Source organism: Homo sapiens, chromosome 15, assembly GCF_000001405.40.
Source record: "Homo sapiens chromosome 15, GRCh38.p14 Primary Assembly".
NCBI classification, from domain to species: domain Eukaryota; kingdom Metazoa; phylum Chordata; class Mammalia; order Primates; family Hominidae; genus Homo; species Homo sapiens.
The window spans coordinates 69,193,963-69,214,485 of record NC_000015.10 but is presented as its reverse complement, the minus strand read 5'-3'; the positions used below and the strand labels follow the sequence as shown (position 1 = coordinate 69,214,485).

General features: G+C 35.2%; 1 protein-coding gene across 9 annotated transcripts in view; it reads right to left on the bottom strand.

Moving 5' to 3' along the window:
- Positions 1-20,523, bottom strand: part of GLCE (glucuronic acid epimerase) — a 111,573-nt gene that overhangs the window by 57,722 nt on the left and 33,328 nt on the right. For 7 of the 9 annotated variants that reach the window (NM_001324093.2, XM_047432377.1, XM_047432376.1 and 4 more), the window contains one exon: positions 4,080-4,170. The gene's annotated coding sequence lies outside the window, so the exon portion shown is untranslated. Of the gene's footprint in view, positions 1-4,079; positions 4,171-16,944; positions 18,072-19,960; positions 20,051-20,523 lie in introns of all 9 variants that reach the window. The other 2 variants (NM_001324094.2, XM_047432379.1) reach the window with 2 other exon arrangements.

The following is a 20,523-nucleotide window of genomic DNA, read 5'->3' as shown; positions in this document are numbered from 1 at the left end:
TGGCAGAAGGGAATGTCTTACATGGCAGCAGGCAAGAGGGCAAGTGTGTAAGGGAGGAACTGTCAGACACTTATAAAACCATCAGATCTCATTAGAACTCACTCACTATTATAAGAAATGCATGGGGACACTGCCCCATGATCCAGTCACCTCCTACCAGGTCTCTCCCTCAACATGTGGGGATTATGGGAATTATAATTCAAGATGAGATATGGGTGGGGACACAAAGCCTAACCATATCAGTATACATTTCCTAACTCTGACTCCTGAAAGGCCTAAAAGCAGTAACTCCTCGGTAGCAATGAACATACCTAGCACCCAGATGCTGGTTTCTAAATACTATTCTCCAATAAGTTGGACCTGGGTTCCTTGGAGAGGTAAGTGATTTCAGGACTAAAGCAGGGAAAATACAAGATGAGCCTGAAGCATCTCATAAAGTCAGAAAGTAAGGAATTGCTTTAAAAAAAAGAAAGAAAAGAAAAAGACAATGACGTGTTGAAAAGCGCTCCCAGTGGCTGAAGCTGGAACAATTTGAGCAACAAAATAAATAACAACAGAATTTTGATTCTAATCCAGAGAATAAAATAAATATCTATGAGTTCACACTGATATAAGTAAATGATTAAGTAAATAAATGTGAGCAGGGACTACTCTGTATTACAGAAGAATTATAATTGATAAATGTAGAGGAAATACGGAGAATAGAAAATCACCACTAAAACACCACAGAAGCTGCAGGCAAGATCTACCTATAAATGCTAAAATTAGTGGCCAAAAATTTAAGGAAAAACAAGATATTTTTGAAGCCTCAAAGCATTTTCCCCCAAATATTTACTAATTAAGGGAAAAGTATTAACTTTTTAATAGAGAAATCTGATAGACACCACCATAATCAAGTGATCAAGGTTAACATTACCAGTAATAGGACATTCTGACACCACGTGGCTTCTGATATTGTGTGCTGAGAAAGGCACATCACCTCCGTGGTATTCTGTCTCAAAATCTGTAACTTCAATCTAGTTATGAGGAAACATCAGAGAAACTCAACTCTAATTGAATGACATTCTACAAAAATACCTGACCAGGAGTCTTTCAAAGTGTGAAAATCATGAGAGACACGGAAAGACTAAGGAACTGTCAGATTGGAGGAGACTAAGGAAAAACACAACTAAATGTAATATGGGATCCTGGAAAAAGAACATTAGTGGAAAAACTGGTGAAATTCTAATAAGGTCTGTAGTTTTAGTAAGTCATTATTGATTATTTAGTTCTGATCATTATACCATGGTTATGTAAGATGTTAACATGAGGGTAAGCTGAGTAATGAATATTAAAAAAACTCTCTGTACTATATTATCATTGTAACTTATTTGTACATCTAAAATTATTTCAAAATAAAATTTTTTTCAAGAGCTTTAAACAAGAGAAAAAGAGACGTTATTCTTCTCCTTCAAATGCAGTATACCTTTCTTGATAGCAAATTACGTGTATAAACTTGATTTTTTTAAATTTATTTGGTAGAAGATAAAATGGGTACAAAAACCAAATTATTCGAAAACATTATTTAACATTTTAAAGAAAACCCCATAGTGGTCAACTAAAGTAAGATTTTTAACACTGTCTCCTATGAGGATAAATCTTGGAGGTTGACTTCCTAACTAGTTTCTTTACTGCCCTGACAGTTATATGAAAATAATACACATGTCCACATCGTTAGCAGTAAAAATACTCATCTCAAAAATTCAACATTGCAAATAGCTACTGTAACTAACAGCTATGCGGTAATATGGACCAGGTTTTACAAAGTTAAAAAGCTGACATTCTCTTTTAGTCTGAATACCTTCAAAGACATGAACAGAGAAAATTCCAAATCAAGTCCATTCAGGTCCTTTCTTATCTAGCCACATATACTTTAAAAGATAAGCAGTATATTCAATTAAAAGAAAAAATCCTATGCCTGTCTTTAAAGTACACATATTTAATTTCAATGATACTATCAAATTGGCAATGACTCAGTATTTGATTTTATAATGAAATATTTTATGCTGTTAGAAAAATCTAAATAATCTAAGATTATATGAAAGAGAAAATCAAAGTATAAACTTTCCTATGAGTTTATTTCCCCTTGTTTTACTTTTAAGTACCACAACTAGAACACAAATCAGGGAAATTAAAAAAAGATGTCTTAAGATATGATTTTAATAGATGCAAAAAATGTTAGCATTACCTTCTTATATCATCCATCATTTAAGAGGAAATTTTACTTATTCGTAAGAAATTGATTATTTTATTCCTAAGTCTTAGTATACAAATCAGATACTCTCCACAGCTAAACACACACAATGCTAAGGTGGCCTCATTAACATATTAAAGCTATCAAGATTTCCATCCCTTCTGCAGCTTAATTTTATCATCTTTCATAACTCAAATGTATAAGCACTCAAATTCTAAATCCATACTGATTTAAATATAAAATGTGTGATGGCACAAAAAGATGCAAAGTATTTTCTTTCTGATAAGTTTCCAGATTCCCTCCTTTAAAAAGTAAATTTTAAAAAGTTTTAAATTGACTTTATGAAAATGAAAGCAAAGATACCTCACACAAGTCTATTAGGAAACCAAATATATTTCAGGTTATGCAGGATATAAGAGGCTGTTTTCAAATCAAATAATCATTCTTTATGAGATGAAGATTTTAGAAGCTTACTTTATTTTCTTAAAATTACATGGGAAATAGCAAAAATAATTTGTTTCTAATTTTGGTGCCCTGAACAGAGAAATTCCTTTATGATATTGGTTGGAAATTCTAACTTATATGGCATGTTTTTAAAATATACTTTTTTTTTTCTTCAGCCAAGAGACTTCTGAGGAGGGTAGCAAAGATTTTATAGACTTTCTAGGCTCCAATTTTATTTTCTCCTTCTATCTTATGTTTATTTAAACACTAATAATTTTAGGAATCACAAACAAGTGTAAGCGTTTCCATTTAAACCTCAGAGAGAAACGTAACTCCAACTTTAGCCACTAAATGTAGTTCTATATTAGCAAGTTTTCATTTAAGTTCATATATGCTAAACCATTTGCACTACTAGAACAGATATTAAAAACACACAATCATCACTCTCAAAATATTATTTGTTCAGTTTAAATTTAGTAGGAGAGACAAATATAATCAAATACATTCGTGTGAATAGTTTTTAGAATGAGAACAAGCTTGACCTTTATCATATAAACTTTTATTTTTGAAAATCTAAGCAAAATGAAGGCTTCTACTTAAAAAATAAGCATAGTATTTAACTGCTAACATTAAGTCTTATTTTAAAAATCAATTACTTCAGAAAACTAGCACCTCCCAAGAAATAATACAGACCCTTCACTTCAAGAAATTAGAGTTCCTGTATCTGCACATATACTTATATGCATATTTAAATCTCTAATAAGTTTTCATACAACAAGCCTTACTGACAACTAAAATCAGTTAGCTACCATTTCATGTATTATAATTACATAGCAGAATAAGATACCCTGCTTCAGTTTTCTAGGCCAAGGGTCAGCAAACTTTCCTAAAAGGGCCAGATTTTAGGCTTGTGGGCCATACAGACACTGTTCCAACTAAAAACTCTGCCAATGTAGTGCTAAGATGGCCACACACAATATGTATTAAGTGGGTGTGACTGTGTTCCAATAAACTTTATTTACCAAAATAGGTGGCTGGCCCATAGGCCATAGTTTGCTGACTCCTGCTCTAGGCAAACAGATTTGATATCAGTCTATAACACTTCCAGTGAATGTATAATCATGTTTCCCTTGAATCTAGTAGTTGTTACAAGGAACATTAGCTATTTAAGTGGTAAAGAAACCATGAAAATATTTCCTGAGGTCAGAATCTCAGATTAGACTGGGAAATTTAAATGTGTTAATCAAATACACATTAAAATATAAGTCTAAAAATGCATAGTATTGGTATAATTAAATTTTATTAAACAATCTTACCTTAATCAAATGAAACAATCTAAATTCTAGCACATCACTGAAAACGTACAGTAAAGGTATGATTAAATTTTATCAAACAATCTTACCTTAATCAAATGAAAGAATCTAAACTCTAGAACATCTCTGGTTTCAATTCAAAATATATCTGAATCAAAACTTCAGTTTCTTGTCAAATTCCTAGAGAAACAAAATTGAAAACCTTAAGTCAGCTTCCAGTTCCAGATAAGATGGGGTAATCACATGCCAACAAGTTAATGTAGCTATAAGACCTGGACAGAATGCATGGAACAACTACTAAGGAACTTTGAAAAGTAACAGTAGCAGGCCGATTAAAACAACCAGAATTTGATGTACCACTGAAGCAACCACAGGTTTACCATTTATTTCCCCCTCTGCTTTCATCCAGACTGAACATAATACAGCCCAAATGGAAAGCTTCAGGAGAAGCCCTCTACCTCTGGCTTGAGAGAGGGAAAGGGGTCTCTTAGGACTCACAAGGAAGTGTGCAAATCCCCCCGTTTTTTTCTCTCTTCACTCTCTCAAGCCCAGCCACCCATCACAGCTGTGGCAGCAGTGGCAATGGAGGTTACTAAGAACTAAAACTCTGAGAGAGGGAATCTACCTCTCTGATCACAGAAGCTGTGGTCCCAAGAGGATGTGGTGAATCCCTTTTGCTTCTCTCTCTGTCCTCCTGCCACTTGGCCCTGAATATGGGCACAGCTGCAGGGAGTGAACATTAAAGAGGGATAAAGATCCACTTTCTGATCAGAAAAGGGGAGCCATGCAGAATTAGAAATTACTGGGAGATCACAGACAAGGAACATGGGAGAGCAACACCTCAAAGTTGTTTTATGAACTCCTGGACTCACCCTCGAGTGGCACATGCATACATCTGACCCAAACAAACATACACAGACTTTGAGAATTATGAACAGACGACCCCTCAAGTTCCAGACTGGCAATGGGTGGTACACATGTGGGACAGAACCAAGTAATATGGCAAAAGTTTTGAAAATCAAACTGATGTTGTAACTACAATCCACAGAAATTTGCAGTGTGACTCTAACTGGGTTGACTGTCTACTAAAACAAATATATCAACATTTTGCATAGTATTTAAACAAGACCCAACGTCTCCTAACATAATAGTCAAATGTCCAGGACATAATCCAAAATTACTAGGTATACAAGGAATCAAAAAAACTCAACTTGCACAGGAAAAATACTAACATCAAGAAAACAAAGATATTAAAATTATCTAAGATATTAAAGATATTTAGAGCCATTATTACAGAATGCTTTAACAAGTAAGTGCAAACATTCTTGAAACAGAGATAAACTCAGAAAAAAAAATAGAAGATAAAAGAAGAACCAAATGGAAATTTTAGAAGTGGAAAAATACCAATAACCAAAATAAAAAGCTCACTAAATGAGCTCAATAGCCGAATCAAGACGACAGAAGAAAAAGTCAGTGAACTTACTACAGATGAATAAAAATGATCCAATCTGAACATACAGAAAGATTGGGGAGAAAAGGTCAACATCAATCACATTTCTGTACATTAACAATGAACAATTTGGAACCCTCACATTTAAAAATAATACCGTTCAAAATAGCTCCATAAAAAACAAATACTTGAGCATAAACATATTAGAACATGTACAAGAGCTATATGCTAACAACAACGAAATGCTGATGTATGCATCAGGAAAATCTGAGTAAGTAGAAAGATATCCTGTGTTCATAGATCAGAAAGCTCAACATTGTAAAGATGTCAATTCTCCCCAAACTGGTCTAGAAATTTAATGCAACTCCAATCAAAATTCCAGGATTTTTTGTAGTTATAGACAAGCTGATGCCAAGATTATTATGGAAAGGCAAAAGAACTAGAGAAGACAAAACTATTTTTAAAATGAATAAAGTTGAAGGAATTATACTACCTAATTTTAAGGCTTTAAGCTACTTACCAAGACAATGTGATATTGCTGAAGGGAGAGATCAATCAATGGAAAAGAATAGAGTGTTCACAAATATATCCACACAAACAGGGTCAACTGATTTTTGTCAAAGGTTCAAAGACATATAGTGAGGAAAGGATTGTCTTTTCAACAAATGGTGTTGGAACAACTGTGCATCCATATGCAAAGAAAAAAATAAAATTTCACCTAAACCCTCATGTTATACAAAAATTCACTCAAACTTAAATGTAAAATATAAAACTGTAAAACTTGTACCTAGAAAATGACAAAGAAGAAGAAAATCTTTGTTACCTGAAGTTAAGCAGAGTTCTGAGATATGACATCAAAAACATAATCCATAAAATTAAAAGTTATAAATTGGACTTCAACAAAATTAAAAATTTATGCTCTGGAAAGGTATCTTTAACATAACATAAGGACAAGCTACTGACAGGGAGATAATACCTGCAAATCGCTTATGGAACAAAGGACTTCTGTCCAACAAATATATAGAACACTCAAAACTCAACAGTAAGAAAACAATATAATTTAAATATGAGCAAAAGTACATGATTAGAATAGCTTAAAAAACAAACAAACAAACAAACAAAAACAACTGGTAATTCCAAATGCTGCTAAAGATACAGAGCAATAGGAAATCTCATTCATTACTGGTGGAAATAAAAAATGGCACAACCACCTGAAACACAGTTTGGCAGTTTCTAACAGAGCTAAGTATACATTTATCATATGACACAGCAGTCAAACTTCTAGATACTTACTAAACTGAACTGAAAACTTGTATTCAGACAAAAACCTATACACCAATATTTAATGAAGCTTTATTCATAATCACCAAAACCTGGAAGCAACCAAAATGTCCGGGTGAATGGATAAACAAACTGTGGTATTCCTATACAATAAAATACTATGCAGAAATGAAAAGGAATGAACTATTTGATTCATGAAACAATATGAATAAACCTTAAATGTATTTTTCTAAATGAAAGAAGTCAGATCCAAAAGCAATATATTATACGATTGCATTCAGATGACACAATGGAAAATGCAAAACTACAGGAGATTTTGGTTGTCAGGAGAGGAGTTGGGGTATGGAGTAGTGGCTGACTACAAAGGGGATGCATGGAGAAATTTTTTAGTGTGATGAAGTTGTTCTGTATGACACTGAGGTGGTGTATACATGACGTTATGCATTTGTCAAAACCCACAGAACCGCACATCACAAAGACTGAACTTTAATGTATGCAAATTTTAAAAAATCAACAAAGATGCTGGGGGAATTTTAAGATAGAATGCAGTCCATGACAAATGAATCTGGCTGTATTATAAATGAATGGCATAACCCAACTAAAGGGGGTAGGGTAAATTTATTTCTCACAGGGGTACTGGTTAACAATTGTGAACTTGCTTTACTGAGATGGAACAAACAAGTAAATGGATAAGGCCAGGTTTCTGTTAGAAAGGAAAGTTACAGATAAGCAAAGTGGGGAAGCCTAGAATGAACCCTGTGGTACTGGATTAGTCACAGACATCAGTATGAACTTAACATATAATATATATACAGCAAAATATATAATACAAATAGGTACAGAAACAATTATAGATGTACATAAATACATGATTAATATACAAATGTATTATTTCCTAGCTCTATCCTCTGAGAAGGCCTTGAAATGGTGATACCCCTGCATCAACAAGTATATCCAGTACCCAGAGAGACAATGGATCTAAACACAATTCTCCAACACAAGAAACCAGGGCTCCTGGTGGAAATGGCTGATTCTAGGGGTAGGGCAGAGAAAATATATGATAAGCCTGGAGTATCTTGTAGTACCAGAAATTAAGGAAGTATTCAAAAAAGAAAAGGACGGGACATGTCAAAGGAATACAGGGACCAACACTGGAACAATTTTAGCAACAAAATAACATAGTATTGAATTATAAGCCAATGTATAAAATAAGTATACATATTGATATAAATGACTGAATAAATAAATGGAAGAGAAGGGACAAAGGCTTACTTACAGAAGAAAACTTAATAACATATAGATATACCCTATCCATAAGATGAAACAATCTCCCACCCTTTTGATTGTGGGCTGAAATTAGCAACTCATTTCTAAAGAATATAATACAAAAAGACAAAAATATCGACTTTACAGTGAGGAAATCTGATAAACAGTACCTTAGCCAAGTAATGCTGTCATCATGCACTTTGATAAGATGTGAGGAAAAGGGCATTTCCCTCTGTGTATTCTTCCTAAAACTCATAACCTCAGTCTAATCACAAGAAAAGCATCAGACAAACACAAATTGAGAGACACTCTGCAAAATATCTGACTGGTACTAGTACTCAGAACTATCAAGTTTATGAAAAACAAAGAAAGGCAGAGAAACTGTCATAGACTATAGGAGATTTAGGGAGAGATAACAAATGTAACATGTAATACTGGAATGGATTCAAGAACAGGAGACCCAGTGGAAAATCTGGCAAAATCTCAATTTGGAATCTGGAGTTTGGTTGGTAGTAAGGCACCTGTTGGTTTCTTGGTTTTGAAAAATGCACTTGGTTTTGTAAACTGTTATTATTATGGCAAGCTGTGTGAGGAATATAAAGGAATATAAAACTCTTTGTATTATCTTTGTAACTCTTCTATACACCTAAACTTCTACCAAAATAAAAAGGTTGTTTTTAATGGTCAAAGGACCTGAATAGATCCTTCACCAAAGAGAATATAACAAAACATACGACAAAATGCGCAACATCACTAGCTATCAGGAAAGTGAAAAATGAAACTCATTATCAGGTACCACTACAAATCTATTAGAATGGCTAAAATGAAAAAGATTGAACATACCAAGTGCTGACAACTGTGCAGAACAACTAGAACACTCATACATTGCTGATGGAAATACAAAGTGGAAACAGCCATTTTAGAAAACAGTTTGTCAATTTCTTGACAATAAATATTTACCATATGACCCACCAATCCCATACCTATGTATTTTTACCCAAAAGAAATGAGAACTCATTTGCACAAAATCCTATACACAAATGTTTATAGAAGCTCTATTCAAAATAGCTAAAAACTGGAAACAACTCAAATGTCCTCCAATTAATAAACTTATAAACAAACTGTGGTACATCCATACAACTGAATACTACTCAGTAATAAAAAGGAATAAAATATCAATACACAGAACAACTTATATGAATCTTATAAGGCATATGCTGAGTAAATGGATATGTAACAGTCTTAAATGGCTTCATGCTCTATTATTCCACTTCATGACCATTTTTGAAAAGACAAAAGTAAAATGGCAGAGTTACCAGGTATTGAGGGGTGGGGGGGAGCACAACTACACAGGGATAACACAGGAGTTTTTTGAGCTAAGGAAACTATTCTGGATATTGACTGTGATGGTGGTTAGATAAATCTATACATGTTGAAATATATCAACTATACATAGGAAAAGTCAGTTTTACTGCATGTTCATTTAAAAAAATAAAATTTATGATACTTAAAAGAATTTTAAATCAAAGGCCTTTTCAGGATTATTTAGTTTGGATCTTATAGTCTGTAAAAATCCTCTTGTTTATTCTGCCTACTTTTCAGATAGAGCAAGTGACAAATAGCTCAGTCGTGACATGTAAAATCACTAGAGGGATCAATGGTCTAAATGTCAGTTCCCCTAAGCAATGTATCACCTGCAAAGGAGTCTGATCTGCTCATCACCACTATACCACCTAATTGAAAAGTAAATCCTGACATCTGCTTAGTGGTATCATAAAAGAACTTTCATTAAAGCTCTTTTAAAAATACTGATTTACAGTCAGTAGAGAATTCCACATTGTTGGTCAGGGAGAGGAATATGATTAATTCTGCTTCCATTGCATAATAAGCATTCTGAAAATAAAAAGTAAAACAGGCCAGGCAAGGTGGCTCATGCTTGTAATCCCAGGACTTTGGGAGGCCAAGGTGGGCAGATCACCTGAGGTCAGGAGTTTGAGATCAGCCTGGCCAACATGGTGAAACCCTGTCTCTACCAAAAATACAAAAAAATTAGCTGGGTGTGGTGGCACACGCCTGTAATCCCAGCTACTCGGGAGGCTGAGTCATGAGAATCACTTAAGCCTGGGAGACAGAGGTTGTAGTGAGCTGAGATCGTGCCACTGCACTCCAGCCTGGGTGACAGAGTGAGATTCCATCTCAAAAAAAAAAAAAAAAAAAAAAAGTAAAACAATCATTTGTTTCTAACTTTTTTATCAGGGAAAAAATAGTCGCTTTATTTGAATAAGTAGGATGAGGAATGCAAGCTGGAAAACACAGTATTTCAGAAGTATTTCTACTCTTCTGCAAGAATTTCTTTATCGTACTTCAACTAATATAGTACACTACAAGCTTACAGTGAATTATTACTATACTATACATGCATGTGGTCACAAAATATAAAAATCTACATAGTAGAGGAATTTAAATTTTTTAAAACTAAGTATAAAAGTACTACCTCTTCTGAACACTTTCTATCATGTTATTTAATCTATCTGGTTCCTACATGTACCTTAGGTATTATTTTTAAAAATCATATTTAGCCAACTATTTCCATTTAACCTAAACTCAATTATTTGTTTTTAAGGATACTGTTGTTTCTCAGTTGGGCTAGTAAATTTAGCAACACCTTCAGATTATTATATTTAAAAGAATATGAGGGTTTTTTTTAAAGCCAATCAGCAACTGCACTAATTTCAAATGAAAAACAAAAAGCCTCTATAAGGAACAGTTTTTGCCTTAAGGTCTTTTCTTGTCATAATATTACATCCAATTATAAGTTAAATGATCTGCTTCAAGAATTTAGGTTATTTTCCCCAGGAACACATTTGGAAAAACTGATGACATTACCTGGTACCATATCCTTTCTAACTGAAGCCATGTGTGTGCAGTAGCTATAATTCACTAAGGTCAGTTTAGTTTTGACACCCATTAAAACCCACTGAATGGAGTACCTATTGCAAATCTGTATGCTTACTGCTCCATGTAATCTTCTCACTTGATGTTCAACTTACTAAACAAAGGCTGTTTTATTAATAATAATCAAAATCTGACTTCCAAAGATGCACTGCACCTGTCAAAAGTTTCAGTAGGTTAGTAAATTTCCTGTCTCTTCTCTCTGTAGCATTGCGTGTGTTTAAGTCACTACTATATTTTAATGTCCATAAACACAGGAGTTTTTTCCCATCTTTTTCAAAGAATCAAGAAAACTTCAGTTAATTAGTATTACACCATTCACAGTTAAACTTCCAGCTCTCTTCAAAAGTTGCCAATTAATAAGAATTTTTACATATGAACTAAACCCAACAGGATGCTTTACCTTACTGGCCACTGAAATGCTAAGTTCACAGAAATCAACATTACCTAGTAACATTTTAAAGATTGAACCACCTATCTCTATAAAAGTAGCTACTACTTTCCTTCACCCAAATTAGTACCATCCAAACTTAAATATCACAATAGCCATCTCTACACTTAAGCAAATCAAATGAACTTTCCACCCATTATTCCAAAAGTTCTTCTTTCAGAAATGAAGTTTTATATAAAATATATTTAGGCTATTTGTTTAGAAACATTAAAGGTCAGAATAAGAAATTATCCATAAATAATGTTAAATCATCAAAGAATCAAGAAGGGATTTGGGATGGAGAACTTGGTATGTACTGAAATTAAGAAGGCCTCATGTGACACTTAACACTATGTAGCCCAAACCTGTGTTACAAGTATATTTAACCACTTGCTAATAGTTCTGATAAAAAGTTCTATGATTGAAATCAATGCCTGTGTAGACTATAAATCTCATATACCTATGCTTACTCCAATCCACCATTACTGAAGTTTCCTATTGCTACATTGGGAAACTACATGATACAGAATTGTAACCAGGACTATCACTAAGAAAACTACAAATAACTGTCTTTTAGAAGGCATTTAACGATTGGTAAGAATACCGCAGTTTTTCCATGAAGGGTAGACCCACACTCGGCACACAGTGGGAGCACAAGAGAGAATTGTATATGAGGAAGATAGAAGCTCTGAGAGCAGTGACCAACAGATAGTAAATCTCTTCCATTATTTTAAAAGTCTATCTATCTCAGAAAAGCCATATTGAAAAATTTATTTTAATTTGCTTCTGAGTTGGCAGTTCTTCACTATAGGTGAATACTGGTTTAAAGCAACTGTTGATTTTTTTTTTTAATTGGGTAAGTACTCTCTGACTGTTGAATTTAGGAGGTGAAAGCAAGGCTGGGAACCGTGGTTCATGCCTATAATCCCATCATTTTGGGAGGCCAAGGTGTAAGGATAGTTTGAGCCCAGGAGCTCAAGACCAGCCTGGGTAACATAGTGAGACTCCATCTCTACAGAAGATGTAAAAAATAGCCAGATGTGGTACAGTGTGCCTATAGTCCCAGTTCGTTGGGAGGCTGAGGTAGGAAGACTGTTTGAGCTGAGGAGGTCAAGGCTACAGTGAGCCTGTGCTCATACCAATGCACTCCAGCCTGGGTGACAGAGCCAGACCCTTTCTCAAAAATAACAGTAATAATAATAATAGGAGGAGGAGGAGGAAAAAGCAAAACAGAGCTGCCTTTAGCACTTTAGAGTCTTTACCAAGAAAAGTAAAATGGAGTACATGGTCATTCTTAAGGACTTTTTAAAAATTCCTCAGTGGGTATCTGATTAAATCTTAAATTGTCCTCTAAGTCTGGATTTTTGAACTCAAAATTCCTCACTGCTTTTGAAGCAGAAAATAGAAAAAAAGAGAGATAAATGAGGTTTCTAACTCAATGCAAAGAAAAAACAAAGTAAGCCTTTGTTAACAGTATCTGTTAAGCATCTAGTATGTAAAACACTGCTGTAGTGATGGGATGAGGAAAGGGCCAAAACAAAGAACACTAGTACTGGCTTTCAAAGAGCTTACATAAATATGGAATACATGAAGAATTCTTTATAAAGCAATGCTATATGTTTTACTTGTTTTTATAAGTATACTGCTAGATAGGCAAGGGCAGATACTATGTCTGTCTTGTTTACCACAATAGCCCCAGTGCCTACTACAATGACTAGACACAGCAAGCACTAAAAAAAATTTGTTGTATAAATGAAGACTTTCAACAGCTATGTCAATACTGACACTTGGCTTCCTTGACTCCAGTGATCTAGCCCTCTTTGACAGGCAGAACAATGGCCCTCCAAAGATGTCTGTGCCCTTAAGCACTGGAACCTAAGTTACCTTACATGGCAAAAGGGACTTGCAGTTGTAATTAAGGTTAAGGAACTTGAGATGGGAGAGATTACTCTGTATTATCCAGGTAGGCCCAATCTCATCACATGAGGCTTTTAAAGTGGAAGAGGAAGACAGAAGGTGGATCAGAGAGTTTAAATCAAAGGAGAAGGAAATACTGGAAGCTTGAGAGGGACTTGACCTTTGTTACTGGCTTTGAAGATGAAGGAGGGCCACATGCCAGGGAACGAGGGTGGAATGTAGGTGCTAGAAAGGGCTCTGATCAAGACAAATGCTACAACCACAAGGAAGTGAATTCTACCAAAACCTCATATAAGCAAGGAAACTGATCTTGCCCTACAGCCTCCAGAAAGGAACATGGCCATGCTGAAATTTTTATTTTAACCCAATGAGACCTGGATTGGCCTACTGACTCACAGAACTGTAAGATTAAAAAGCTTTCTGTTTAAGCTACCAAGTTTGTATTGATTTATGATGGTAGCAATAGAAAACTAATATGCCCCTTATCGCTTCTACTCTAGCAACCCAAATATATAGCTTTTCTTGTCAACACCCTGATACTGGTTCAATAAAAGATTTAACATTCTGAAATGCTTTGATCTGATCATAATCTCCTATTCTTACCTCTTCTGCTTCATATTCCCTACATCTGTCATTATCAAAGAAAGACCTTGTTTAAAAGAACAATATGTAGAAACAAAATGCCACTTATCAATCATGAATTAGTATTTTCTAGTTAGAATGTTTGGTCAGCTTTATATCCAAAAGTATAAAACGACACAACAGAATAGTTGTAACAAACTGCAAATTTCATATGCCTTGCAACATTGCAGTACCAAGGACCCAAACTGAAATGTGTAATTAAACAACCCAGTGTGTCAAATTCTGATTTACTTTTAAAGAAACTGTATTTTAAATCTGGAACCATTTCTTTGCCTCTTTATATTTATGCACTTGCTCTAAAATATTAAAAACAACCTCATAAACAATCTGTTTAACAGTAATTAGAATTTTATCTAGTTAAAACAACAGCAGAGCATGCCACAACACAGATGGCACGAAACTTTCTCCTTGCCTGATTAGTGTCAAAAAATTGTTCTCCAATTTCATGATTAGGAAAAATTTTGTCACAGGCTATCTCACAAAATACTAGTGAAAGGACAGTTTTATTAAGGAAGTCTTTGCTCTGCATATATCTTAATTATTTCTCAATGTAAAAAATTGTCTTACTACTCTGATAAAACCCAGCCAAATAAGTGATTAAGGAATCATAACGGATAGAAGTCTGTACCACTGATTTCACTCTAGTTCCAATTCCTCAAGCACACTAATTCTTTTTGGAGTAGAGGTTCCCAGACTATGATGCATGAATCACCTGGGGCGTGTTTAAAACTTCCAATGACCAAGTTCTAACCCATACCAATTAAATCAAAAGGTCTGGGGATAAGAGAAGCATAAAAGTTTTTAAACTCCCCAAGTGGCTCCAGTATGGTTTAAGGCATGGTACAGTGCACTGAATGGAGTCAGGAGGCCTGGGATCTGGCACTGGCCGTGCCACCAGAAAGCTTGGGTACGTCACTGGGTAGCCATTTCCTCAACTATAAAAATATAGGATTGGACAAGTTATTTCTAATATCTAACATTTTATAAGAGGATGAGATTCCTTAGTTTTCTTCAAAAGATTAAATCACCTCAACATGTAAACTATGCAAAAAAATTGAAATCCATGATCTGATTGATGATGCTTATTCCTACCTGTTAAAATCTTATTTTTATAAAGATTATTTTATAGTAGAGATCAAATTCAACTACATTTCAATTGCACAGATTTTTATATATCCTTATGCTCATCCATGTCATAAAAGGGTATATATGTTAGGAATGACTGGAAGCTTGAATTATCTCAAAATACAGCTTGCTATCAGATTATTTCTAGAATTCCTATTAAAATATACTGCATGTATTCTGATTTTCTTGAATAGCATTCCTGGTTTTGCTTAGCTCCTGAAGATACAAAATGACTTGAACTTTTCATTAACATTATTTCATAAAAGCAAATCATTAAGGAAACAAGAAACAGTTGAAATAATCCATGAGTATCAAGTTATTCTGTATACAGTCTCAAACCAAATTCTTACCCTTGACCAGCCCTCTTACAAATGTACACTACCAGTTATGAGGGTGCTTGGAAAAAGGTTAATTCATTCAACAAGTTAAGCATTTTTATAGTTCTAGAGTTTGGGGACCGGGTGGCGGACTTCTAATACGTCCCTGCAGTGATCCCTGCCTTCTGATAGTCACATGTTGTGTAACCCTCTTTAAGTGTGGGCTAGACCTAGTAACTTGCTTATAAAGAAGAAAATATTGGCCAAGCATGGTGGTTCACGCCTGTAATCCCAAGACTTTGGGAGGCCAAGGCAGGAGGATCACTTGAGCCCAGGAGTTCAAGACCAGCCTGGGCAACATAGTAAGACTCTGTCTCAATTTTAAAAAATAAAGAAAATATGGCAACAGTGATGGGAAGTCACTTCTGTGATTAGGTTATAAAAATTGTGATGTGCTTCTTGCTAGCACTCTCTTTTGCTGGCACTTTTTCTTGCCCTCTTGCTTGTTTGCTCTAAGTCAACTGCCATACTGTGAGATGCTCTATGGGGCCCTTTGGCACGGGTCCAAGGGAGGCCTCTGGCCAACAGCCTGAGAAGAAATGAATCCTGCCTTATGAGTGACCTAGAAAATGGATCCTTTCACATCAAGATTTCTGATGAGACTTCAGGCCCTGTCAACACATTGGTTCATAACCTTGTAAGAGACCCAGCACCTATGCTGTTCCTGGATTCCTGACTCACTGCAATATAATAAATGTGTGTTTTGAGTGGCTATGTTTTAAAGTAATTTGTTATGCAACAATGGGTAACTAATATAGGCATGTAGCAATGAATAAAAACACTACAGTCAAAGAACCAATAGTTGAGTAATAACATAGATCAAGGTATCGACAATCCAGTAATGGGTGAGACATGTAAATAAATGTAATAAAGTATTTTAGGGGCTCTGATAAAAGCATACATGTGTTTGAATGCCACATGCAGGGTTTTTTAAAAAAAAGAAAAAAGTATACATGTGAGGGGTAAGGTACAGACATAAGAAAGGATATGTATATAAAAAGGCTCAGGCACTGATGTTCTTTAAAAGGGAAGAATGTGAATTATAAGCATCAAAGAAATACAATGGTCACTTTGGAAAACTAAAGGTAATCCCAATTATTTCCCACCTATTCAAGAAAACTGCTGCAGCAATTTTCTCTTCCTTCTACTGCATTGTCAAATATTCCCTCTCTACTGGATTATTCCTGTCACATTAAACATAGAACCAAAAAATTTTTTAAAGCCCACTCTCTTAACTCTACACACCAAATGTGCATAGTTCCCCCTTTACAATAAAACTCAAAAGTGTTATCTACACTCACTGTCTCCACATCTCCCATTTTCTCCTGAATCCATATCAACCAAGCTTTTCATCCCATCTGTCTACCAACTTGCACTTATTTAAGGTCACCAACATCTTCCACATTGCTAAACACAACAATCGATTCTCCGACTTCCTCTTATTTTACCTATGAGCAGTAGCTGACACAAACAATAATTCCGTCCTTGAAATACATGGTTCTCAAAATACCCACCTCTACTGGTTTTAATCTTATTAGGTTGGTGCAAAAGTAATTGCGGTTTTGTACCGTGAATTTTAAATCATTATATTATAACTAGGCTCAAACACATCTTTATTCATCAAAATAGGAAACATTACAATCAACACATTTTTGCCAATGAGAAATAAGTTTATTTATTCCTGTAGTGTAAAAATGTGTGATCTGGGATTCGATAAACTCTTGGAAAGCTTTTTCTGCATTCTGGTTGTGGAAACATCTTCCCTGCAAAAAGTTGCTGAGATGCTTGAAGAAGTGGTAGTCAGTTGGCAAGAAGTCAGGTGAATACGGTGGATGAGGCAAAACTTTGTGCCCAATTCATTCAACTTTTGAAGCGTTGGTTGTGCGACGCATTGTCAGGCATTGTTGTGCCGAAGGACTGGGCCCTTTATGTTGATCAATGCTGGCTGCAGGCGTTGCAGCTTTCCATGCATCTCAGAGATTTGTTGAGCATACTTCTCAGATGTAATGGTTTTGCTGGAACTCAGAAAGCTGTAGTGGATCAGACCGGCAGCAGACCATCAAACAGTGACCATTAACATTTTGGTAGAAGTTTGGCTTTGGGAAGTGCTCTGGAGCTTCTTCTCAGTCCAACCACCAAGCTGGTCATCAGCGGTTGTCATATAAAATCCACTTACCAACGCACGTCACAATCTGATCAAGAAATGGTTCATTGTTGTTACACAAAGTAAGAGAAGACAACACTTCAAAATGACGATTGTTTTTATTTTCAGTCAGCTCATGAGGCACCCACTTATCGAGCTTTTACAACCTTCTAATTTGCTTCAAATGCTGAATGACCGTAGGATGGTTGATGTTGAGTTCTCGGCAACTTCTAGTGTTGTAAGAGGATCAGCTTCGATGATTGCTCTCAATTGGTCGTTGCCAACTTTTGATGGCCGGGCACAACACTCCTCATCTTCACGGCTCTCGTCTCCTTTGCAAAAGTTCTTGAACCACCACTGCACTGTACCTTTGTTAGCAATTTCTGGGCCAAATGCATTGTTGATGCTGCGAGTTGTCTCTGCTGCTTTATGACCCATTTTGAACTTGAATAAGAAAATCACTTGAATTTGCTTTTTGTCTAACATCATTTCCATAGTCTAAATAAATATAAAATAAACAGCAAGTAATAAGTCATTAGCAAAACAAAGCAAGAAATGCACATTAAAATTATGTATAACATAACCACATTTATTTAATAATGTATTCCAATACCAAACAGCAAATTTAAACAATGCAAAAACCGCAATTATGTCTGCACCAGCCTAACACTCCATGCTCACTCCACTTCAGTCACACTAGCCTCCTCCTTGTTCCTTGAACATACTAGGCACACACTTTCCTCAAATCTGTTACCCTTGCTATACCTTAGAACAGGAATGTTCTTCCCTGAGATATCTGTACAGATTCCTTGTAGGTCTTCACTCAAATGTCACAATCCTTCCCAGGCCTGCCCTCCTCCAACTGCCATGCCTTCCAACACTCCCCCATCCCCTTTCCCTCCTTTATTTTGCTATCTGATACAGTATATATTTTATCTGTTAGTTTCAGTTTCCCTCTCAGCTAGAATGTAAGCTCCATAGAGGCAGAAATTTTTGTCTGTTTTGTTTACTGTTGTATGTGATACAACAGTACCTGGCAATAGTAGGAATGGTATTAATATTTGTTTAATGAATGAATGAACCAACCAAGGGAATTCTCTCACTGATTTAATGTAATATAGGGGAGTAATTTAATAGTTTCAAAGGTACCAAAATATTACATTCATATTTCAATCATTGTGATTTGTGTTCTGACAGATTTAACACCCTCATTATACACACCAGGGCTATATTAAATTAGTTTGCATTCCCCTGAAAACATACCAATCAGGAGAAAACATCCAGAATTGTCTTAGACAACAAGGAGCAACACGACTGATTTTAAAAAATAGTTTTCCATGGATAATCTAAAGTAGACAATCCACATACAATATGTCACAAAATCTGATACAGACTTTCAAAGTCTAGAGGTGAAAGAGAAGGTAAGTAAAAATTTCAAATTTTGTTAATACACACAAACACACACACACACAAACTCTAAGGAGATTTTATCAATTCTTTCATAGGTAACTTGTAACCTTTGATGTGTTTTCCATCCATTTTCCAATATACGTATTTTTTTACTTCTCTTTTTCTAAGCTATCAGTGATTTTAAAAAAAAAATTTAGCTGAGACTATATTTACACAGTGTCCCAAAGATAAAAACAAGACTTGATTTTGCTGAGATAAAATACTTATAAATATCATTTTTACATTTGTATGTATATGTTCTTTACACATTTCCCAAGTGCTTTCACATCTTTATTATGCTCTTCACACTGACACGAATAAATAGGCAGGCAGATTTTATCACATCCTCCCCCACCTCCCACATACATACACATACTTTGCAGATGGAAAAAAGTGACTCTCAAAGAGATTAACTGGCCTGCTCAAGGTCACAGAGCTACAAGCAGTTCAACCTGAACTATAATTAGGTTTTTTTGAATCCAAGTTCACTATTTTCTTTCACAACATATTACCTCACCCAGTAATTAAAGAAAGGTACATTGCATTTATCTATAAAGACTATATAAGAATCTTCCTTCTGGATTAGAGATTTTCACATTCCAATCCATTATAAAAGTGCTTTGCAGATGGTACAAATATGCTACTCTTCTTATTTTTTAAAAAAGAAAAGTCCAAGAAAATAAAAATAAAGAAAATTGAGTCAAGCAGTAGTAACATGAGATTAATGGTTACTTTCTGCACACAGGATCAATGTTTTAGAACAACCCCTGAACTATCAAACAGATACCAAATACCACTTCAAGTGCCAGAGGAAGATATTTAACAGATGCCATTCTGGGTAAAATTGCCGTTTATTACTGCCAGAACCCATACCTACATCACTATCTGAAAAATCCTGGTAATCTGGACTAAAAATAATAAGAATGAATTATTTTTACCCTTCTCTCCTAAGATTTAGCTCAGGTTCAGATAAACAAATGGTTCCATGAGTCACTTCATCTGGACTTCTTCCTGTCTCCTTTAATATTCTAAGAAGAGAGAAAAGAGATTCCTTTATCATTCCAGCTGCAAGAACACTCTAAGGCAATCCAAAAGTGGGTCACAAACCAAAGACCTCAAAGAGAGTACATTTTATGTAAGATTAAAAACTCTGTTCTTCCCACCATCAGAGACCAACTGCATGTCTCTGACCCATATTAAAATTCCTTAGTATAAATCTAGATTCATTTTTGAAGCCTAGTCAGGCTTACTTGGGACTCTCAAACTGCAAATACAGCTGCATGCCCAGTGGGCAACAGCCCACATGGAATTAATGGAATCTGGCCTAGGTAGGGAGAGGAACTGTTTTCTAGGGCCAAGGCCGACTAAACTAAAAATAGGTAAGGCTTCAGTACACATGGTTTTGGCTTTGTGGGACAGTATTTGCTACCCTGAATACTCTTTTCTTTTCTTCTCTCATTTCTCAGCCAATACTAAGGAACTGGCATTTTACATCAGACTT